Genomic DNA, 25,016 nt, shown 5'->3' on the forward strand with positions numbered 1-25,016 from the left:
CATGAACTCATCATTTTTTATGGCTGCATAGTATTCCATGGTGTATATGTGCCACATTTTCTTAATCCAGTCTATCATTGTTGGACATTTGGGTTGGTTCTAAGTCTTTGCTATTGTGAATAGTGGCGCAATAAACATATGTGTGCATGTGTCTTTATAGCAGCATGATTTATAATCCTTTGGGTATATACCCAGTAATGGGATGGCTGGGTCAAATGGTATTTCTAGTTCTAGAACCCTGAGGAATCGCCACACTGACTTCCACAATGGTTGAACTAGTTTACAGTCCCACCAACAGTGTAAAAGTGTTCCTATTTCTCCACATCCTCTCCAGCATCTGTTGTCTCCTGACTTTTTAATGATTGCCATTCTAACTGGTGTGAGATGGTATCTCATTGTGGTTTTGATTTGCATTTCTCTGATGGCCAGTGATGGTGAGCATTTTTTCATGTGTTTTTTGGCTGCATAAATGTCTTCTTTTGAGAAGTGTCTGTTCATGTCCTTCGCCCACTTTTTGATGGGGTTGTTTTTTTCTCGTAAATTTGTTTGAGTTCATTGTAGATTCTGGATATTAGCTCTTTGTCAGATGAGTAGGTTGTGAAAATTTTCTCCCATTTTGTAGGTTGCCTGTTCACTCTGATGGTAGTTTCTTTTGCTGTGCAGAAGCTCTTTAGTTTAATTAGATCCCATTTGTCAATTTTGGCTTTTGTTGCCATTGCTTTTGGTGTTTTAGACCTGAAGTCTTTGCCCATGCCTATGTCCTGAATGGTAATGCCTAGGTTTTCTTCTAGGGTTTTTATGGTTTTAGGTCTAACGTTTAAGTCTTTAATCCATCTTGAATTAATTTTTGTATAAGGTGTAAGGAAGGGATCCAGTTTCAGCTCTCTACATATGGCTAGCCAGTTTTCCCAGCATCATTTATTAAATAGGGAATCCTTTCCCCATTGCTTGTTTTTCTCAGGTTTGTCAAAGATCAGATAGTTGTAGATATGTGGCATTATTTCTGAGGGCCCTGTTCTGTTCCATCGATCTAGATCTCTGTTTTGGTACCAGTACCATGCTGTTTTGATTACTGTAGCCTTGAAGTATAGTTTGAAGTCAGGTAGCATGATGCCTCCAGCTTTGTTCTTTTGGCTTAGGATTGACTTGGCGATGCAGGCTCTTTTTTGTTTCCATGTGAACTTTAAAGTAGTTTTTTCCAGTTCTGTGAAGAAAGTCATTGGTAGCTTGATGGCACAAGACAGGGATGCCCTCTCTCACCACTTCTATTCAACATAGTGTTGGAAGTTCTGGCCAGGGCAATTAGGCAGGAGAAGGAAATAAAGGGTATTCAATTAGGAAAAGAGGAAGTCAAATTGTCCTTGTTTGCAGATGACATAATTGTATATCTAGAAAACCCCACTGTCTCAGCCCAAAATCTCCTTAAGCTGATAAGCAACTTCAGCAAAATCTCAGGATACAAAATCAACGTACAAAAATCACAAGCATTCTTATACACCAATAACAGACAAACAGAGAGCCAAATCATGAGTGAACTCCCATTCACAATTGCTTCAAAGAGAATAAAATACCTAGGAATCCAACTTACAAGGGATGTGAAGGACCTCTTCAAGGAGAACTACAAACCACTGCTCAATGAAATAAAAGAGGATACAAACAAATGGAAGAACATTCCATGCTCATGGGTAGGAAGAATCAATATCATGAAAATGGCCATACTGCCCAAGGTAATTTATAGATTCAATGCCATCCCCATCAAATTCTTTATTATGGCTTACAAAGCTAGAAATGATCTTGACCTCTTTAGTTCCAGTCTCATCTCTTGCCTTCTCACACCGTTCTTCCCCAACCTGCCATGCACATACTTTCTCTCTCTCTAATCATACTTGACCTCTTCCACTTGTTGCAATAGGAGAACTTTTGCTTATGCCACTGCGTCTATTTGAAACTGCCTCCTCTCATCCCATATGTTTCTGGGTATACTTGAAACTGCCTCCTCTCATCCCATATATTTCTGGCTAGCTTCTGCACATCATTTATGTTATCAAGTGAGATGATAGATTGTTTAGGATGGCTCTCTGACTCCCAGATCTCAGATACTCAGGTACTTTTCCGGTCTCATCCATCCTCCACAGGAGAGGCCCCCTATACTTCTCTACTATAATACTTGGGTTGTTTCTATCATCACTTAGATTCTTTAGTGTCTGTGAAGTAGGACCTGAGTCTCTCTTTTCACCACTGTATCTCCAACATCTGGCACAGTCCCCAGCCCGTGGTAGATAATAGATATTTTAAAAAAATTATGAATGAATAGCATAAACAAAAAATAGAGAACATTCCTAGAAAATATTCAGACCCTTTGACTTAGTAATTCCACTTCTAGAACCTTGTATAAAGAATCAGAAACACAGAAACTTATGTTCGTAATAATAGTAAAAAATTTAAAAGAATCTAAATGAATAACAGTAGAGCTTGCTTAAATATGACATGCTGTTTCCAAAAGAAACAATGTTACATAGGCATCAAAAATGTCCATTTTTGAAGAATTATAATGAATAGGAAAAGGCATACATTATAATCTTATATGGAGAAAGCAAAATATAAAACAACATAATTTCACTTTAATCCAAAATATATATGTTTTTATGTCTCAATTACACACATATACATGCATAGAAAAATGAAAGAAAATATATTAATATTGGTTGTTTTTGTTTGATGTATTATTTTTATTATCAGAGAAGAATTACTAAAATGTTTTTCTGTTAGATAGCTGGGTTATAATTAGTTTTTTTGTCACAGTGAAGAAAATAGTTTTCTGATTTTATAATTTCATTGTTTTTTTTACGTGCTATTTGTTTAATATATGGTTTAAAAGTCATTTTATTTACCTTCATTGTTATTAAAAAGTAGTAATGCTATACTAATTTAAAAAAATTAGTATGATCATGAATCTTTTATAAATTTTTTGCTTCTCATACTTAGAAATTGCTTTATTTATGAAACTCCTGAAATCCTTTGAGTCAATACCATAGATTCCAATTATTAGGGAAATTTACTTGAAGGCAACAATAATTTCATTTAGAGAGGATATAGGTTTGGGTAAAAGGTAGATGTCTTCCTATCTGAACATTTTAAATGTTAAAAACCATTCACTTTCCTTTTGAATAACATGAAAGCTTTGAATTTATTTTGTAAGTCTTTTGGGTAGAAACCATCTATTTATTTATTTTGGGGTGCTAAATGTACATTGAAATTATTATATAATAGCACAGGCATAATCATGATTTTTTTTTTGGCATTTCTTCTAAGACTTAGGGCCTAATTATCCACCTCCATGAATAGGACCTGAGAAAAATTGTGTCTATAAAACTGGAGCTAGAGTGGACCTCAAGTTTATCCATTCCAAACTCTGGCAAGTGTTCACTTCTCATCTCCTTTTGCTCCAGGACTTCTGGAAACAAGGAGCTCATAATTTCACTGAGTTAAGTTATATTTGAGGTAAATATTTCTACTTGTTGCAAAGTGTCTTTTTTAATATTAAATGATCATCTGCTCCTTACTACATTTACTCACTGGTCCTCGTTTTGTGCTTGGCACATAGACAGCATTCAGTATATTAATATATTAGTCAGTGAGTCAGCGAGTGAATAAAGGAATGAATGGATACCACTTAATTAAGATTAGAGTTCTTGAGGAAACCTAAAGGATGGCCAAGCTTGAAAGCAGCTGCTTGCTTCTTCATCTTGGATTTCCCCTCATTGTCAGGAAATTCTATTCCTGTTTCTGATAACTGTGGAACTGACTCCTTTGACCATCCAAGATTTCAATGGAAATGACTTCACTTACCATCTGACTGAAGTTCTTGCAAGAGATACCTTGGAAAAGACCTCTCCACCTTGACATAGTGTTATAGATATGGGACAGAGGATAGACATGGCCAGCAACTGGGGTCACTTTTCTTTCCTTATGTTTAGGATTTTCAAGGAAGTGGTATATGTTCAATTGACAATGTTCAAGTTTAGCCATATCTAGCTTTTCTGTTTGCTCATTCTTTCATGTTTTTTCTGTAGTTTATGACATATGGACTGATACAGATCTTATGAACTTTTTGCAAACTATCTCTGTCCCATATTATTTGTATATCTGTCTTATCCTCCTGACTTCCACCAAAAAAGTGATGTGTTGCTTAGTGACAGGAATGCTGTTTTATTCATCTTTAGTGGCATGTATTTAATAGGTGGCTAATAAATATTTGCTAAATCAATGTATTTTCATCATTTAAAAACTCAGATAATATACCTCATTTTCCCCTGTTCTAGTTATTAAAAAACCCCACTTTTCTGAATTGGACATACTCTTTTCTTTCCTCAATGTTTAGTCATAGTATTTCTCTGTTCCGGGTCATTTCTAAGTTCCTGCTTTAATTGTGTAGCTCAGAAAAAAATGGTAATCAAATAAGTTTTAATCAGCACTTCTTACATTCTTAACAGTCTTTCTCATTGTGCTTTCATGTGTTACTTTTTAAGTTTCCTCATTTGTAAAATGATAGTAATGACACACATCTTATAGGTTAGTAAAATAACATCATAAACACATGTAAATCACATAGTTGTGTTTCATCAACTCTTTCCATTGAGAATACTTTCTTATGATGTCTAATTTCTTTTCTGTGTAACTTTTTCTCTTGACTGTTTTCTCTATATATTACATCTAATGTTAAATTTAGAGTTGGTAAATTGAAATTCTTGATACAATGGGATATCTATATTTGGAGAACTGTGATTCATCACTTTACAGAAAATACCTGAATGAGCTGTTTTTGCCAAAATAATTATTTAAAGGATAATTTAACAAATATTCAACATCTTGTCTAGGTGTCATTCCAAAAGTTATCTTTCTATTTTGAATGGCCTTCATGTTTGAATTTTTAGTAAGTTTTATGCTGTTTTAAAATTGTGTATTGCAGTCTTGAAAATTTGTACAGTACAGCTGACCCTTAAACAATGTGGGGTTTAGGGGTGCTGACCCTTCATGCAGTCAAAAATTCACATATAACTTTTGACTCCCCCAAAACTTAACTACTAATAGCCTACTGTTGACCAGAAACCTCACTGATAACATTAAGTGGATTAACACATATTTTATATGTTATATATATTATATACTATATTCTTATAATAAGGAATACTAGAGAAAGGAAAATATGAAGAAAATCATAAGTAAGAAAAATATACTTATTATTTATTAAGTGGGAGTAGATCATCATAAATATCTTCATCTAAATGATCATAAATCATCTTCACATTGAGTAGGCTGAGGAGGAGGAGGAAGAGGAAGGGTTGGTCTTGCTGTCTTGCCTGGCAGAGGCAAAAGAGGTAGAGGAGGTGGAAGGGATACAGGAGAGGCAGGCACACTTGGTGCAGTTTTACAGAAATACATTGTAACTCCCACCTGACATTTTTACTTTTTCATTTTTCTAAAAATATTTCTATATGGTTCCAGTCCTCTTTCACTGTTTGCTTTAGTTTCAAGGGTCCATGTTGCAAAATGGACCCTTCTATGATATGGACACTGAAGTCAAAAGCAGTCTTGAATAATCAGAACTCTTCTGCCAGATTGTCTAATGTCAATTTGTTTTTTGGCACCACTTCTTCTACGTGTTCTTCCTCATTATCTGACAGTGGTCTGGAAGCAGTCATCTCCATCAAGTTGTTTTTAATTAACTTCCTCTGGTGTGGTGTCTATTAGCTGTTGAATTTCTCTAAAATCTGTATCTTGCAACCCTTCACTCCCAACCTTTTTTGGTCATATCTACAATCTCTTTCATTATTTCCTTGATTGACTCTCTTGTAAATCCTGTGAAGTCTGTACAACATCTGGAAACAGTTTTCTCTAGCAGGAATTTACTGCTTTGGGCCTGATGGCTTTCACAACTTTTTCCATAACAACAATGGCGTCTTCAATGGTATAAGTCTTCCAGACTTTCATGATGATCTCTGTATTGGGTTTCTCTTCCATAGCATTGGCAAATCTTTTCCATAGGATGCTGTATATAATGAGCCTTAAAGGTCCCTATGACCCAGACCAAGAGGCTGAATTAGAGACGTTGTGTTTGAGGGTAAGTAGACCAATTTGATATCTTCTGTGTTGAACTCGTGGTGTTCTGCGAGGTGAAGGGCATTGTCCAATATCAAAACAGCTTTAAAAACAGTCCTTTACTGACAAGGTACTTCCTGACATCAGGGAAAAAGCATAAACTGAACCAATCCAGAAAAAGGGTTCTTGTTGTCCAGGCCTTCTTGTTTTAAAACCAAAAGCCTGGCAATTGGTGTTTATCTTTTCCCTTCAAGGCTCAGGGGTTAGCAGCTTTACAGATAACGGCAGTCCTGTTCCTAAATCCAACTGCATTTACAAAAAATGGTAGAATTAGCCTATTTCTTCTTGCCTTAAATCCTGGTACTTGCTTCTCTTACTTACTAATGAAAGTCCTATGTGGCAATTTTTCCCCCTTAGAATAAGGCACTCTCTTCTGCATTAAAAACCCGTTCAGCCAGATATCCTTTTTCCTCAATGATTTTAATGGCATCGGGAACTCATCTTCTGCCTCTTGGTCAGCAGAAGCTACTTCTTTTGTTATCTTGACATTTTTAAGCCAAACTGATTTTGAAAATGTCAAACCATCCTTGGCTGGGATTAAATCCTCCAGCTTTAGATCCTTTACCTTTCTTTTGCTTTAAATTGTCATGTAATGACTTCACTTTTTCTCAAATCATATTTGGAGTCTATGGGTATGCCTTTAGTAACCCTGTACCCACATAAAAGCTGTATTTTCAATGCTAGATAGATAAAAGAGTATTTTGCAAAAAAAAAAAAAATGCAAGATTTTCACCTCTGGTGGTGTAGCTACAGCCATGGCTTCATGAATTTCCTTTTCTTTTTTTACAATGGTCCTTATGCTGGATTCATTTCTCTTGAAGTGATGGACAACTGCAGCTGCAGACCTCAATCTTCCGTACATATCAAGCAATTCAATGTTTTCTTGCAATGTCATGACTTTTCTTCTTGGGAGCATTTCTAGCATCACTAGTGGCTTTTTGTATGGGTCCCATGGCATTATTCAGGGGCAATATTGTGCTCAACACAATAAAAAAATGTGAGACTGCGAGAGATCACTTTTTACTGCAATACACAATTTACAGGCCTGTGGAACTGCTCACATGGAGATGATTAGCATCACCCAGGGTTTCAAGCAGATACTCACAGCACTTGAATTCACTGTGAATTCAATAGCAAGAGGAGGTGGCTACAAAATTGTTACAGTAATATAGTATGTGCTACAGTTAATTTTATGCAGTTGTGATTTAATACTGCGTCTTTATGTTTGTTCATATTTCTCTCAACTTCAAATGGTACCATGTATAGTCTGAAAGTATATATACGTTTTTAATAAAACTTAACTTTTTATAATAGTTTTGTGTATACTTTACGGTAGGAAATGATAAAATAGACTACTAGTATCTACATATATTTTATGCATTCAGAACAAACCCAACTTTTTCTTAAAATTTTCAATATGTCTAGGCTATATGGTTTGTCTGTGAGGTTTTTTGAAATTGTTGCTGATCTCCAGAATTTTTTCCAGTATATTTATTGGAAAAAATTTAAATATAAGTAAACCCATACAGTTCAAGCCTATGTTGTTCACGTGCCAACTCTGTATATTATGAGCTGCACATTCATGTCTATTGTATTTAATAACTTTAATTTTGTTTTTATGTCTGAGAGTTAATGCCTTTTTATCAATTCTAGAGCTGTTTGCATGAGTGATTGAAAATGAGAATATTTGTAACCATAATTTAATAACTAGCAATTTGGTTCCTTATAATAGGATAAATAAAAATCCAGGGATTGGATTTTTAATATGTATGCAAATTTTATTTTATTGTGATCATTTAATTAGAAGTATTTTTTAATAAGCTTTTTCTTACCTGTTTTCTCCACCATTTGGGGTGGGAGGCAGCAGGTAACAGAAGGCTTGTTAGAGGAAATGATACTTAATCTGACATCAGAAAGGTGAATGAGATTTATCTAAATAAGGTGGGTGTAAAGATAATGAATGTGGAAGGTAGGTTGTATCATTATAATTAATGTTTGCTCATTAACAATGTACCCAAATAAGAGGTACCAAATAAGTCTGGGATCTAAGAGAATTATTTATAGTTAAGGAGAGAATTAAAATAAGCCAATAAATAGAGTTAATTTGGGAGCTATTTCATGTAATGTATTGAGTATGCTTTTATTCTTGAAAATCTATTTCTATAAATGTAGTAAACTGAACTTTATACATTTCACATAGCTCGATATTTATTCTTCAGAAGAATTTTTTCTGTTCAGTCACTGCTTGGGCCATTGCATTAAAATTTTTTAAAATACTTGCAACATTACTTAGAGTAGAAATATGTTTAATTATTGAGCATCTATTATGTGCTAGACATAGTGTGATTTGTACCATGATAGGTGGAGGACAGGGTGTTATGAAAGCCCATAAGCAAAGTCACCTAATGCTATCTTGGTTGGGGACCAGGTGAGAAAAGTTTTAATGGAGGAAGGGATATTTAAGCTGATACCTAAAAGGTGAATAAGATTTATTTAGACAAGAATAAGAATGTTGGAGGTGGGAGTTGAGCTTGGAGAGCAAATTTCAGATAAAGACTAATGTATTTGAATGTGTGTGTTGAAGAAGCTATGAATAATGATAGCTGTAGTAAAAGCCATCACTTATTGAATGATAATTATCATATTATGCCACTGTTTGAGTCAGTTTACATGTATTAACATCTTTAATCTTTGTAACAGCCATATAAGGGAACTGTTGTTATTATTCCACTTTCATTAATTGATTATTGATTATTAATTGTTCTTTATGAGTAATATACCATTCTCCCCTTCTTTCCTTATTAGGTCTGAATTTTGGGACTTTGGTATTGTTTTATTTTGGTTTCAGTGAGCCAGAAGTGGTCTGTAGGCACATTTAGTAAAAAGACAAAAAACATCATATGGCATTTTAGCTTGTCATTGAAAAGAATATTATATTAAAATATGGTATTTATGGATGATCAAACCTAGGACTATTAAAACTTAATTTCCATGTTATAAGAAATAGAAGAGATAATGAAGAAGGTAATCAATACTATGAAAAATAGTGAGACAAATCTAGATTGTGACACATTCTAAGAGATAACTGGCCTGGACCTTTCAAGAAAGTCAGTATCATAAAAAAAAAAAAAAAAAGAAGAATAGAGAGATTCTGGATTAAACTGCTCTGAAAGACAGAGACATAACAACCAATGAAATGTAATGCATGAATTTTGAATGGATCCCAGATTTTAAAAAACTATAAAAGATATTTTGGAGACAACTGGAAAATTTGAGTATATATGGACTAAGTATGACATCATGAAATATTAATTTTCTTAGGTATGATAATGATATTGTGATATGTTGGAAAATGTCCTTATTCTAAGAATATGCATGCTGATGTATTTAGGGGTAAAATTTCATTTTTGGAAAAATTACAATGTAATAATTTCTGTACATTTTTACCTTTTACTAGATCATTAATGAGATTCCTAAGTATTAAACATTTATAAAATACTTAAATTTAACTTATCTTTTTATCTGATATTTTCCATATAATGTTTATTACCATATGACTTCTTGACATTTTAAAAAATCTGTCCTCATTCCCATCCTCAACTAAAATATCAGTTATTTGAGGACTGAGGCTTTCTGTTATTCACTGCTTAATTCATAGCACAAAGGATAGTATCTGGCATATAGTAGGCAATAGTCAGTATTTGTTGAGTGGACTAATAAATAAGGATAACCAATCTCAACCAGCCTTACCATTTCTATATAATTTGTAATATCTTTAATTTTTTTATTAGTTTTAGTATTGTTACTGGAAAAGATAATTGATTGTTTTTTATGTTTCAGGGAAGTTGGGAAAAAAGAATTTTGAAGAGTTTAAATAGTATGTGCACTGAACTGAGTATCCCACTGGCACGAAAGGTACTTTTAAACATTTTTCTGTTTAAGTATTTCATTGTGAATCAAATACAGAAAGTATCATGAAGTTATATAACTGTTAGGCACATTTATTTATTTATTTATTTAGAGACAGAGTCTTGCTCTGTCACCCAGGCTGGAGTGCAGTGGCGCGATCTTGGCTCACTGCAACCTCCGCCTCCTGGGTTCAAGCAATTCTCCTGCCTCAGCCTCCAAGTAGCTGGGACTACAGGCACCCGCCACCAGGTCTGGCTAATTTTTTTGTATTTTTGATAGAGACGGGGTTTCACTGTGTTAGTCAGGAGGGTCTCGATCTCCTGACATCATGATCCGCCCACCTTGGCCTCCCAAAGTGCTGGGATTACAGATGTGAGCCACTGTGCCCGGCCTATTTATGTATTTTTACTAGTATATCACCTTGGTTTGAAACAAAAATCTGTAAAAGGCCAATTATGTGGGTATATTCTATATGGATTTCTATTTTGTGTGCTATAATAATTATTATAACAAACCTGTATCTTTGCAAATAAATTGAAATATGAATCTGTAGTACAGATGAGTTAGACATTTGGCTGTAAAGATTAGGAATATGCTTTAAAGATTTTAATTACCTTTAGTCTCCTTACCTTTTGGCTAATTAGCACAACAGTCATATTCCTTGAATCACAGATAGAGTTCAGGCATACTGTGATCTTGTAATAGGTAATACGGTACCATCTTTCGGTATTAACGTAGGAAACGAAAAGGATAATTTGTCATCTCTCTGTAGAACTGGAATTCTATTTAGATCTAATACTCAACATTTATGTTACTCTGGGCATTGAGGAGAAAAGATGAGAAAGAAAAGAAAAAACACTTGAGGGATGTTCTGTTTTCTTTGTAGCTGCTCACAAGTAGGAGAGAGTCAGTTTCCCTTTACTTCATTCTCCCTACCTGCTATTTATTCCCTGTTGTTGGACAGGATGTAGTAGGTATACTTTGGATAATATCCAAGGAAAAATTACTGAAGGCACCAGAAGGATGGTGTTTAAAAAGGGATACATTTATATTAAAAACTGTCTAAATATGTAGTATTGTATAATATACTGCCTTTCTTATAGGAAGATGATGCTACTGACTCTTAGTCACACTCTCTTGGCCAGTCCCCCTTGTGATGCTTTTCTGAGACTGCTGGATGGGGGTAAGAGAAGTAGTATGTGGCTGAGGAGCAGTTTTTCTTTGTGAAATTTACTGGCCAGTACAGATCACTTACCTTCTTTTATTGGACTCATTAGCACCATGTTCTAACTAAGCCATTGAGACTAGATATAACATAATAGTTAAATAATAATTTAAATGCAGTTACCCCCCAAATTCAACATGTTTAATGAAATTATACTGTTATGGTCATTTATTTAGCTTTTAAATAAGTTATTGATTCTTGTTTTTAGTTGTATTGCTAGACTTCAAAAAATGAAATGAAACCAGTTTCAAAATTACCTTTTCCAGAGGCCAGTTGGAGAACAGAAAGAACTTCTTAATAAATGGAATGAAATGGGAACTGATGAACCAGGTATGTGAACAATTTTTTCTGAATGTAGTAGTGGAAAAATAATTGCCTTCTTAACTGTGGATCCAAAATAACATAATTAACAATTCTTTTGGGAAGATTGCAATTTTCCTTCTCATTAATTTTCTATCATCTGGAAAACCAGAATTAGACTGACCTACTCAAACTCCCAGACACCACATGCAACTAATAAATACAGACATCAGGAGCAGCTTTTTGTTTGTTTGTGTTTTTAGAGACAGGTTCTTGCTCTGTTACCTGTGCTGGAGTACAGTAGCATGATCACAGCTCACTTTAACCTCAAGCTCCTGGGCTCAGAGGGTCCTTTCACCTCAGCCTCCTGAGTAGCTAAGACTACAGGCACACACCACCATGCCTGGCTAATTTTTTTATTTTTTGTAGAGATGGGGTTTTGCTATGTTGCCCTGGCTCTCTCTGTTGAACTCCTGGCCTCAAGTAATCCTCCCATCCTCCCACCAGAGCCTCCCAAAGTGCTGGGATTACAGGTGTGAGCCACTGCGCCTGGCCTTATTTATCCTTTTTTAAAGCAGCCTTTAAAAACATTTTTATAAAATTATAAATTATCCAGTGGATTTTTGAGATTCTTGTCTTTTAATTAAGGTAAATATTGTGCAAGCTTAATTATATTGGGTTGTTAAAAATAGGATAAATAGTGAAAAATACGTTTGAAGACTTTAAAATGTTTTAAAGAATTTATTTTTGTTCATTTTAATATTTAAAATCTAGTCAATTTTGTAAATATAAAATGAATAACAACTATATTTCATTTACTATGATAGATGCCTATAATTGTATAGACAGACATGTACATAACCCTTCCTCCTCCCCTTCCTTTACCACTGCTAAAAATACATGTAGGGGACTAGGTAAGAGATAAATACCATAATAGAGTTATTATATATAGTTATTTGAGTTCAAAAGGGGGAATAGTTTAATACAACTAGAGGAATTCACTAAGAATGCATTGTTTGTATTTTAAGTACATTGAGAATTCTCATATAGTACCTTTATGTTACATTGACATTGTTTGGCCAATTCAGTTACAAATAATTACAATTTGTGAATAGGATGCTCTTAATTTCTTCCAGAATATGTCATCTAGGATGTTAAGGGCAGAAATTGTCTTTTCATTTTAATGTTCTCTGTACTTAATGCAGTGTATGCATTCTCAAGAAATGTTTGAATTAATCTATCTGTATGATAACATGTGAAAGAATGATTAACATTTATTTAATAAGCCTTCATATATTATTAGCTGAAATTTTGTTTATAATCTATCTTATTCTAGATTTAAGCCTTTTCAGACCTGTTTATGCACCTAAGGATTTTCTTGAGGTAGGTTCTATTGGATAAATACACATATATTAATGAATGAATAATGTGAATAAATGATGATGTAAAAATATATCAAGGCAGAGGGATTAGCATGTAAAAAGCCCCAGAGTCACTGAAGCAGTAGAATGACATGATCAGATCTGTGTTTGAAAATTACCCTTGGAAAATATATTGGAATATGGAAAGATTAGCATTGAGTAAATCAGTTAGGATAATTTTGATTAAAAAATAGTAACTGTAGGAAGTGGGTTCCAAGATGGCCGAATACGAACAGGCCCAGTCTGCAGCTCCCAGCGTGATCAACACAGAAGACGGGTGATTTCTGCATTTCTAACTGAGGCACCTGGTTCACCTCATTGGGACAGGTCAGAAAGTGGGTGCAGCCCACGGAGGGTGAGCCGAAGCAGGGAGGGGCATTGCCTCACCTGGGAAGGGCAAGGGGTTGGGGGATTTCCCTTTCTGACCCAAGGGAAGCCATAACAGACTGTACCAGGAAAATCAGAACACTGCCAACTAAACACTGCGATTTTCCAACAGTCTTAGCAAACGGCACACCAGGAGGTTATATCCCATGCCTGGCTCAGCAGGTCCCATGCCCACAGACCCTTGCTCACTTCTAGTCCGAGATCAAACTATGAGGTGGCAAGCCTGGCTGGGGGAGGGGCATCCGCCATAGTTGAGGCTTGAGTAGGTAAACAAAGTGGCGGGAAGCTCGAACTGGGTGGAGCCCACCACAGCTCAACGAGGCCTGCCTGCCTCTGTAGACTCCATCTCTGGGGGCAGGGCATAGCTGAACAAAAGGCAGCAGACAACTTCTGCAGACTTAAAACATCCCTGTCTGTCAGCTCCGAAGAGAGCAGTGGTTCTCCCAGCACAGTGTTTGAGCTCTGAGAACAGACAGACTGCCTCCTCAAGTGGGTCCCTGACCCCCGTGTAGCCTAACTTGGAGACATCTCCCAGTAGGGGCTGACTGACACCTCATACAGGCCAGTGCCCCTCTGAGACAAAGCTTTCAGAGGAAGCATCAGGCAGCAATATTTGCTCTTCTGCAATATTTGCTGTTCTGCAGCCTCCGCTGGTGAAACCCAGGCAAACAGCATCTGGAGTGGACCTCCAGCAAACTCCAACAGACCTGCAGCTGAGGGACCTGACTGTTAGAAGGAAAACTAACAAACAGAAAGGAATAGCATCAACATCAACAAAAAGGACATCCACACCAAAACCCCATCTGTAGGTCACCATCATCAAAGACCAAAGGTAGATAAAACCACAAACATGGGGAGAAACCAGAGCAGAAAAGCTGAAAATTCTAAAAACCAGAGTGCCCCTTCTCCTCCAAAGGATCGCAGCTCCTTGCCAGCAGTGGAACAAAGCAGGACGGAGAATGACTTTGACGAGCTGACAGAAGTAGGCTTCAGAAAGTCGGTAATAACACACGTCTCTGAGCTAAAGAAGGATGTTCGAACCCATCACAAGGAAGCTAAAAACCTTGAAAAAAGATTAGACGAATGGCTAACTAGAATAAACAGCATAGAGAAGACCTTGAATGACCTGATGGAGCTGAAAACCATGGCACGAGAACTATGTGATGCATGTACAAGCTTCAGTAGCCGATTCGATCAACTGGAAGAAAGGGTATCAGTGATTGAAGATCAAATGAATGAAATGAAGTGAAAAGAGAAGTTTACAGAAAAAAAGAGTAAAAAGAAACCAACAATGCCTCCAAGAAATATGGGACTATGTGAAAAGACCAAATCTACATTTGATTGGTATACCTGAAAGTGACAAGGAGAATGGAACCAAGCTGGAAAACACTCTTCAGGATATTATCCAGGAGAACTTCCCTAACTAGCAAGGCAGGCCAACATTCAAATTCAGGAAATACAGAAAACACCACAAAGACACTCCTCGAGAAGAGCAACCCCAAGGCACATAACTGTCAGATTCACCAAGGTTGAAATGAAGGAAAACATGTTAAGGGCAGCCAGAGAGAAAGGTTGGGTTACCCACAAAGGGAAGCCCATCAGACTAACAGCAGATCTCTCAGCAAAAACCCTACAAGCCAGAAGAGACTGGGGGCCAATATTCAACATTCTTAAAGAAAAGAATTTTCAACCCAGAATTTCATATCCAGCCAAACTAAGCTTCGTAAGTGAAGGAGAAATAAAATCCTTTACAGACAAGCAAATACTGAGAAATTTTGTCACCACCAGGCCTGCCCTAAAAGAGCTCCTGAGGGAAGCACTAAACATGGAAAGGAACAACTGGTACCAGCCACTGCAAAAACATGCCAAATTGTAAAGACCATCGATGCTAAGAAGAAACTGCATCAACTAATGAGCAAAATAACCAGCTAACATCATAATGACAGGATCAAATCCACACATAACAATATTAACCTTAAATGTCAATGGGCTAAATTCCCCAATTAAAAGACACAGACTGGCAAATTGGATAAAGAGTCAAGACCTATCAGTGTGCTGTATTCAGGAGACTCATCTCACATGCAGAGACAAACATAGGCTCAAAATAAAGGGATGGAGGAAGATCTGCCAAGCAAATGGAAAGCACAAAAAGAGCAGGAGTTACAATCCTAGTCTCTGATAAAACAGACTTTAAACAAACAAAGATCAAAAGAGACAAAGAAGGCCATTACATAATGGTAAGGGATCAATTCAACAAGAAGAGCTAATTATCCTAAATATATTTGCACCCAATATAGAAGCACCCAGATTCAAAAAGCAAGTCCTGAGACACCTAAAAAGAGACTTAGACTCCCACACAATAATGGGAGACTTTAACACCCCACTGTCAATATTAGACAGATCAATGAGACAGAAGGTTAACAAGGATATCCAGGACTTGATCTCAGCTCTGCCCCAAGCTGATCTAATAGACATCTACAGAACCCTCCACCCCAAATCAACAGAATATACATTCTTCTCAGCACCACATCGCACTTATTTCAAAATTGATCACATAGTTGGAAGTAAAGCACTCCTCAGCAAATGTAAAAGAACAGAAATCACAACAAACTGTCTCTCAGACCACAGTGCAATCAAATTAGAACTCAGGATTAAGAAACTTACTCAAAACCGCACAACTACATGGAAACTGAACAACTTGCTCCTGAATGACTACTGGGTACATAACGAAATGAAGGCAGAAATAAAGATGCTCTTTGAAACCAATGAGAACAAAGAGAAACATACCAGAATCTCTGGGACACATTTAAAGCAGTGCGTAGGGGGAAATTTATAGCACTAAATGCCCACAAGAGAAAGCAGGAAAGATCTAAAATTGACACCCTAACATCACAATTAAAAGAACTAGAGAAGCAAGAGCAAACACATTCAAAAGCTAGCAGAAGGCAAGAAATAACTAAGATCAGAGCAGAACTGAAGGAGATAGAAACACAAAAAACCCTTCAAAAAATCAGTGAATCCAGGAGTTGGTTTTTTGAAAAGATCAACAAAATTGGTAGAATGCTAGCAAAACTAATAAAGAAGAAAAGAGAGAAGAATCAAATAGATGCAATAAAAAATGCTAAAGGGAATATCACCACCGATTCCACAGAAATACAAACTACCATCAGAGAATACTATAAACACCTCTGCACAAATAAACTAGAAAATCTGGAAGAAATGGATAAATTCCTCGACACATACGCCCTCCCAAGACCAAACCAGGAAGTTGAATCACTGAATAGGCCAATAACAGGCTCTGAAATTGAGGCAATAATTAATAGCCTCCCAACCAAAAGAAGTCTATGACGAGATGGATTCACAGCCGAATTCTACCAGAGGTACAAAGAGGAGCTGGTACCATTCCTTCTGAAACTATTCCAATCAATAGAAAAAGAGGGAATCCTCCTTAACTCATTTTATGACACCAGCATCATCCGGATACCAAAGCCTGGCAGAGACACAGCAAAAAAAGAAAATTTTAGACCAATACCCCGATGAACATTGATGTGAAAATTCTCAATAAAAGATTGGCAAACCAAATCCAGCAGCATATCAAAAAGCTTATCCACCAAGATCAAGTCGGTTTCATCCCTGGGATGCAAGGCTGGTTCAATGTATGCAAATCAATAAACATAATCCATCACATAAACAGAACCAAAGACAAAAATCACATGATTATCTCAATAGATGCAGAAAAGGCCTTCGACAAAATTCAACAGCCTACATGCTAAAAACTCTCAATAAACTAGGTATTGATGGAACGTATCTCAAAATAATAAGAGCTATTTATGACAAACCCACAGCCAGTATCATACTGAATGGGCAAAAACTGGAAGCATTCCCTTTGAAAACTGGCACAAGAGAGGGATACCTTCTCTTACCACTCCTATTCAACATAGTGTTGGAAGTTCTGGCCATGGCAATCAGGCAAGAGAAAGAAATAAAGGTTTTCAATTAGGAAAAGAGGAAGTCAAACTGTCCCTGTTTGCAGATGACATGATTGTATATTTAGAAGATCCCATCATCTCAGCTGCAAATCTCCTTAGGCTGATAAGCAACTTCAGCAAAGTCTCAGGATACAAAATCAATGTGCAAAAATCACAAACATTCTTATACACCAATAACAGGCAAACAGAGAGCCAAATTATGAGTGAACTCCCATTTACAATTGCTACAAAGAGAATAAAATACCTAGGAATCCAACTTACAAGGGATGTGAAGGACCTCTTGAAGGAGAACTACAAACCACTGTTCAATGAAATAAAAGAGGACACAAACAAATGGAAGAACATTCCATGCTCATGGATAGGAAGAATCAAAATCGTGAAAATGGCCATACTGCCCAAAGTGAGGCACAAACAAATGGAAGAACATTCCATGCTCATGGATAGGAAGAATCAAAATCGTGAAAATGGCCATACTGCCCAAAGTAATTTATAGATTCAATGCCATCCCCATCAAGCTACCACTGACTTTCTTCACAGAATTGGAAAAAACTACTTTAAAGTTCATATGGAACCAAAAAAGAGCCCGCAGTGCCAAGACAATCCTAAACAAAAAGAACAAAGCTGGAGGCATCACGCTACCTGACTTCAAACTGTACTACAAGGCTACAGTAACCAAAAGAGCATGGTACTGGTACCAAAACAGAGATGTAGACCAATGGAACAGAACAGCAGCCTCAGAGATAACACCACACATCTACAGCCATCTGAACTTTGACAAACCTGACAAAAACAAGAAATGGGGAAAGGATTCCCTATTTAATAAATGGTGCTGGGAAAACTAGCTATCCATATGTAGAAAGCTGAAACTGGATCCCTTCCTTACACCTTATACAAAAGTTAATTCAAGATTGATTAAAGACTTAAATGTGAGACCTAAAACCATAAAATCCCTAGAAGAAAACCTAGGCAATACCATTCAGGACATAGGCATGGGCAAGGACTTCACGTCTAAAACACCAAAAGCAATGGCAACAAAAGCCAAAATTGACAAATGGGAACTAATTATATGAAAGAGCTTCTGCACAGCAAAAGAAACTACCATCAGAGTGAACAGGCAACCTACAGAATGGGAGAAAATTTTTGCAATCTACCCATGTGACATAGGGTTAATATCCAGAATCTACAAAGAACTTAAACACATTTACAAGAAAAAAACAACCCCATCAAAAAGTGGGCAAAGGGCCGGGCGCGGTGGCTCACGCCTGTAATCCCAGCACTTTGGGAGGCCGAGGCGGGCGGATCACGAGGTCAGGAGATCGAGACCATCCCGGCTAAAACGGTGAAACCCCGTCTCTACTAAAAATACAAAAAATTAGCCGGGCGTAGTGGCGGGCGCCTGTAGTCCCAGCTACTTGGGAGGCTGAGGCAGGAGAATGGCGTGACCCCGGGAGGCGGAGCTTGCAGTGAGCCGAGATCCCGCCACTGCACTCCAGCCTGGGCGACAGAGCGAGACTCCGTCTCAAAAAAAAAAAAAAAAAAAAAAGTGGGCAAAGGATGTGAACAGACACTTTTCAAAAGAAGACATTTATGCAGCCAACAGACACATGAAAAAATGCTCACCATCACTGGCCATCAGAGAAATGCAAATCAAAACCACAATGAGATACCATCTCACACCAGTTAGAATGGTGATCACTAAAAAGTCAGGAAACAACAGGTGCTGGAGAGGATGTGGAGAAATTGGAACGCTTTTACACTATTGGTAGTGTAAACTAGTTCAACCACTGTGGTAGACAGTGTGGTGATTCCTCAAGGATCTAGAACTAGAAATACCATTTGCCTCAGTGATCCCATTACTGGGTATATACCCAAAGAATTGTAAATCATGCCACTATAAAGATACATGCACAGATATGTTTATTGCGGTACTATTCACAATAGCAAAGACTTGGAACCAACCTAAATGTCCATCAATAATAGACTGGATTAAAAAAATGTGGCACATACTATGCAGCCATTAAAAAGGGTGAGTTCATGTCCTTTATAGCAACATGGATGAAGTGGGAAACCATCATTCTGAGCAAACTATCGCAAGAACAGAAAACCAAACACTGCATGTTCTCACTCATAGGTGGGAATTGAATAATGAGAACACTTGGACACAGGGTGGGAAACATCACACACTGAGGTGGGGGAATGGGGGAGGGATAGCATTAGGAGAAATACCTAATGTAAATGATAAGTTAATGAGTGCAGCAAACCAACACGGGCACATGTATACATATGTAACAAACCTGCACATGTACCCTAGAACTTAAAGTATAATTTAAAAAAAGTAAAATAATGAAAAAGAATAGTGACTGTACATCACATAGCCTGCTGCCTGGCACATATACATACTCAGGAAATCTTTTTCTTTTTTATTCCATTCCCTGTTCTAGTAGTCCAGAAGACATGATGAGTGTCTGAACTAAGACAACAACACTGGAAATGGAAACAATTTGATGGATTTGAAAGAGATTTTAAGGATGATTTGGGAACTGATCAGATACGGGGTCTATGAGAAAAAGAAAAGATAATGATCACCTTCAAGTATCTAGGTTGTGTAATTGGCTAGAAGTTACTTGACATGAGATAGAGGATACAGGAGGAGGAACAGGGCTGTTAGTGAAGGTGATAAGCTGAGTTAAGTTACAGAGACATATCAAATATTCAAGTGGAACCCTTCAGTAGACACTTGGAATTCATTATTTTAATTCATACGTTTGATTTCACTCTTTCTCTTGGACTTCACATGTAATCCTATTATATTTATCTTTGAAATATATCCAGAATACAGCCAGTTTTTGTCACCACCACTGCTATATCCAAGCTTCCCAACTGGTCTTCCTACTTCTACCTTTTCCCACCTAGAATCTGTTCTTAGCACAGCTTCCGGAGGAAGGCCTTTAAATGCAATTCAGAATAAGCCACTCTTCTGCTATCCAGTGGCTTCCCATCTTATTCTACTTATTAAATAAAAGCCCATTTGATTTGATATCCCATTACCTGTCTGAGTTCATCTCTGGTTACTGTCCTTCTGATTGGTCTTACTCCAGCTACTTTAGCCTCCTTGCTTACCCCTGGCTTCCTCCCAGCTGAGTGTCTTTGCTCTTTGTTTTATCTGCTGGCAATGATTTTTCCCTAAATGTCTACCTGCATGTTCCCTCACTACTTGTGTCTTTGCTTAAATATCACCTTCTTAGTAAAGGTTTCACTGGCTCTTCTGCTTGGAACTCCTTATACCCTTTCCAGCTTTGTTTTCCTCCACAGCATCTATCATGACGTATGTAACATACTATTGATTTATTTTGCTTATTGCTTGCCTTTTTCCATTACAAAGGAAGCTCCACAGGGGCAAGAGCTTTTCAATTCTGTTTTGTTCCCTGCTTCAGCAGTCACACAGGGTCAAATAATTGACAACACTCACAAGACTTCTCAGGGTACACCCACATGTGGCTTTCTTTCAGCAAGAGAAAGAATGAACCTGCAAACACAAAGAGATCCACACTTCTGACAGAGCTCTCAGGGCCCTTTCTCAGTTACACAGGATGTGTTTAGATTTTCAGTTATAAACCATCAAGATACATGTGAGATATCTTGGCCTAGAGAGCCAAGACACAAGTTTTTTGAGGGGTCGTTTCTACCCAACTGGTTATATCAGATGCAAACCACCAATCTACATTTTCAATAAACAATGTAAATAAACAGTTGTGGAATGCCTCCAGGTTAGTTTTGGTCATAAAAATAGCATATTACAACTGACTAGTTAGTACATGTCACTGCATCTTGGCCAAGGGTCACTACCAGACTTCCAGGTATTTCTGGAGATTAGCATAACACTACCACAGGTCAGCTGTAAGTTAATCCTGTCTTTGACTGCACTGTCCCCAAGTAGAACAGTGCTTAGCACAATCTGCTCAATAAATATTTACTGAATGAATGAATAAATGAATCAATGAATGAAGGTTTCACATTTTATCTCTTTACATTTGCTAAAGTAAAACTTGGTTAGAAATTATTTCAGAACTTTTGGAATTGTAAACAGTTTACTTTGAATGTTGAAGAGACAGGTTAGTAAAAAACTGCCTTTATGATGATGGCTTTATTTCTCTTAGCTTACTAAAAGTTTCTCCCAAACTCTTCCCTTTTCTAGCACTTAAAAGCTGAAACTTTATGTAATTTTTATATTCTTATTCTTATTCTTATTATGTTTTCTCCTTAATAGCTCGTAACATTGTTTCTTTGAGGACAGTTCCTTAATTGATCTTTTATTACTCATGCTGAGATCTTTTTAAAATTACGAATATTTTAAATAATTATTTCCTTAATTACAGTTTCTACATTTCTAATATTTTTATTTTTCTGTTACTCATGTATTTACAGTTTTTTCTCCTTTTCCTGTCTTTTATGTTTGTCAGTTTCCCTTGTAGTATGATTCCTTATTTATGTAATTAGGCTAAAATTGTGCTGTTAGGTAATTAGGCTAAAATTGTAGATTCTTTGCTAATTTTTTTTAAACAAATACTATTTATATTTATAGTGTCAATATAGTGTTTGCAATTTTAGGAAACTTTTTTGGTATTATAGCATATATTTTATCAGCTGTTAGCTATCAGTTCATTAATGTCTTCCTCAAATATGATAGCGTTTCTGTCATCATAATCTCCTCCACTAGATTCTTTTTTTTCCCAATACCCCCAGCATTTTTGACAGCTTTATTGAGCTAGAATTTTTACAGCATAAATTTCAGCCATTTAAAATATACAACTCAAGTGGTTTTCAGTATATTTACAGAATTGTGCAACATCACCACATTTTTAGAACATTTTTATTACCCAAAAAAGAAACCTTATGCCCATTTGTAGTCACCCTTCATTCTCTTCCCCATGCAGCCCTAGGCAACCACTAATCTACTTTTTGTCTCTATGAATTTGCCTGTGCTAGACATTTCATAGAAATGAAATTATACCACATATGTTTATTGTATAACCAATGACTGGTTTCTTTTACTTAGCCTACTGTTTTCAAGTTTCATCCATGTTGTGGCATAATATCTCAACGTTCTAACTTTTTTTTTTTTTATTATACTTTAAGTTTTAGGGTACATGTGCACAACGTGCAGGTTTGTTACATATGTATACATGTGCCATGTAGGTGTGCTGCACCCATTAACTCGTCATTTAACATTAGGTATATCTCCTAATGCTATCCCTCCCCTCTCCCCCAACCCCACAACAGGCCCCAGTGTGTGATATTCTCCTTCCTGTGTCCATGCATTCTCATTGTTCAATTCCCACCTATGAGTGAGAACATGCGGTGTTTGGTTTTTTGTCCTTGCGATAGTTTGCTGAGAATGATGGTTTCCAGCTTCATCCGCATCCCTACAAAGGACATGAACTCATCATTTTTTATGGCTGCATAGTATTCCATGGTGTATATGTGCCACATTTTCTTAATCCAGACTACCATTGTTGGACATTTGGGTTGGTTCCAAGTCTTTGCTATTGTGAATAGTGCCGCAGAAAACATACGTGTGCATGTGTCTTTATAGCAGCATGATTTATAATCCTTTGAGTATATACCCCGTAATGGAATGGCTGGGTCAAATGGTATTTCTAGTTCTAGATCCCTGAGGAATCGCCACACTGACTTCCACAATGGTTGAACTAGTTTACAGTCCCACCAACAGTGTAAAAGTGTTCCTATTTCTCCTCATCCTCTCCAGCACCTGTTGTTTCCTGACTTTTTAATGATCCTCATTCTAACTGGTGTGAGATGGTATCTCATTGTGGTTTTGATTTGCATTTCTCTGATGGCCAGTGATGATGAGCATTTTTTCACGTGTCTTTTGGCTGTATAAATGTCTTCTTTGGAGAAGTGTCTGTTCATATCCTTCGCCCACTTGTTGATGGGGTTGATTGTTTTTTTCTTGTAAATTTATTTGAGTTCATTGTAGATTCTGGATATTAGCCCTTTGTCAGATGAGTAGATTGCAAAAATTTTCTCCCATTCTGTAGGTTGCCTGTTCACTCTGATGGTAGTTTCTTTTGCTGTGCAGAAGCTCTTTTGTTTAATTAGATCCCATTTGTCAATTTTGGCTTTTGTTGCCATTGCTTTTGGCGTTTTAGACATGAAGTCCTTGCCCATGCCTATGTCCTGAATGGTATTACCTAGGTTTTCTTCTAGGGTTTTTATGGTTTTAGGTCTCACATTTAAGTCTTTATAATCCATCTTGAATTAATTTTTATATAAGGTGTAAGGAAGGGATCCAGTTTCAGCTCTCTACATATGGTTAGCCAGTTTTCCCAGCACCATTTATTAAATAGGGAATCCTTTCCCCATTGCTGGTTTTTCTCAGGTTTGTCAAAGATCAGATAGTTGTAGATATGTGGCATTATTTCTGAGGGCTCTGTTCTGTTCCATTGGTCTATATCTCTGTTTTGGTACGAGTACCATGCTGTTTTGGTTACTGTAGCCTTGTAGTATAGTTTGAAGTCAGGTAGCGTGATGCCTTCGGCTTTGTTCTTTTGGCTTAGTATTGTCTTGGCACTGCGGGCTCTTTTTTGGTTCCATGCAAACTTTATGGTAGTATTTTCCAATTCTGTGAAGAAAGTCAGTGGTAGCTTGATGGGGATGGCATTGAATCTATAAATTACTTTGGGCAGTATGGCCATTTTCACGATATTGATTCTTCCTACCCATGAGCATGGAATGTTCTCCCATTTGTTTGTATCCTCTTTTATTTCATTGAGCAGTGGTTTGTAGTTCTCCTTCAAGAGGTCCTTCACATCCCTTGTAAGTTGGATTCCTAGGTATTTTATTCTCTTTGTAGCAATTGTAAATGGGAGTTCACTCATGATTTGGCTGTTTATCTGTTATTGGTGTATAAGAATGTTTGTGATTTTTGCACATTGATTTTGTATCCTGAGCCTTTGCTGAAGTTGCTTATCAGCTTAAGGAGATTTTGGGCTGAGACGATGGGGTTTTCTAGATATACAATCATGACATCTGCAAACAGGGACAATTTGACTTCCTCTTTTCCTAATTGAATACCCTTTATTTCCTTCTCCTGCCTGATTGCCATGGCCAGAACTTTCAACGCTATGTTGAATAGGAGTGGTGAGAGAGGGCATCCCTCTCTTGTGCCAGTTTTCAAAGGGAATTCTTCCAGTTTTTGTCCATTCAGTATGATATTGGCTGTGGGTTTGTCATAGATAGCTCTTATTATTTTGAGATATGTCCCATCAATACGTAATTTATTGAGAGTTTTTAGCATGAAGTGTTGTTGAATTTTGTCCAACGCCTTTTCTGCATCTATTGGGATAATCCTGTGGTTTTTGTCATTGGTTCTGTTTATATGCTGGATTACATTTATTGATTTGCATGTGTTTAACCAGCCTTGCATCCCAGGGATGAAGCCCACTAGATCATGGTGGATAAGCTTTTTGATGTGCTGCTGGATTCGGTTTGCCAGTATTTTCTTGAGGATGTTTGCATTGATGTTGATCAGGGATATTGGTCCAAAATTCTCTTTTTTTGTTGTGTCTCTGCCAGGCTTTGGTATCAGGATGATACTGGCCTTAT

The 25,016-nt window shown here is 36.9% G+C and overlaps 1 protein-coding gene across 19 annotated transcripts in view; it reads left to right on the forward strand.

The window, feature by feature from the left end:
• The window catches only part of TBC1D19 (TBC1 domain family member 19), a 282,243-nt gene that overhangs the window by 50,535 nt on the left and 206,692 nt on the right, over positions 1-25,016 (forward strand). For all 19 annotated transcript variants that reach the window (XR_007057937.1, XR_001741277.2, XR_007057936.1 and 16 more), the window contains 3 exons: positions 10,000-10,074; positions 11,560-11,623; positions 12,930-12,976. Coding sequence is in view for 10 of the 19 variants with exons in the window: in XM_047415904.1 (XP_047271860.1) it covers positions 10,000-10,074; positions 11,560-11,623; positions 12,930-12,976 (186 nt within the window). In the remaining 9 variants the exon portion in view is untranslated. The remainder of the gene's footprint in view (positions 1-9,999; positions 10,075-11,559; positions 11,624-12,929; positions 12,977-25,016) is intronic.

The sequence above is a fragment of the Homo sapiens genome, chromosome 4, assembly GCF_000001405.40.
Source record: "Homo sapiens chromosome 4, GRCh38.p14 Primary Assembly".
In the NCBI taxonomy this organism is placed as follows: Eukaryota; Metazoa; Chordata; class Mammalia; order Primates; family Hominidae; genus Homo; species Homo sapiens.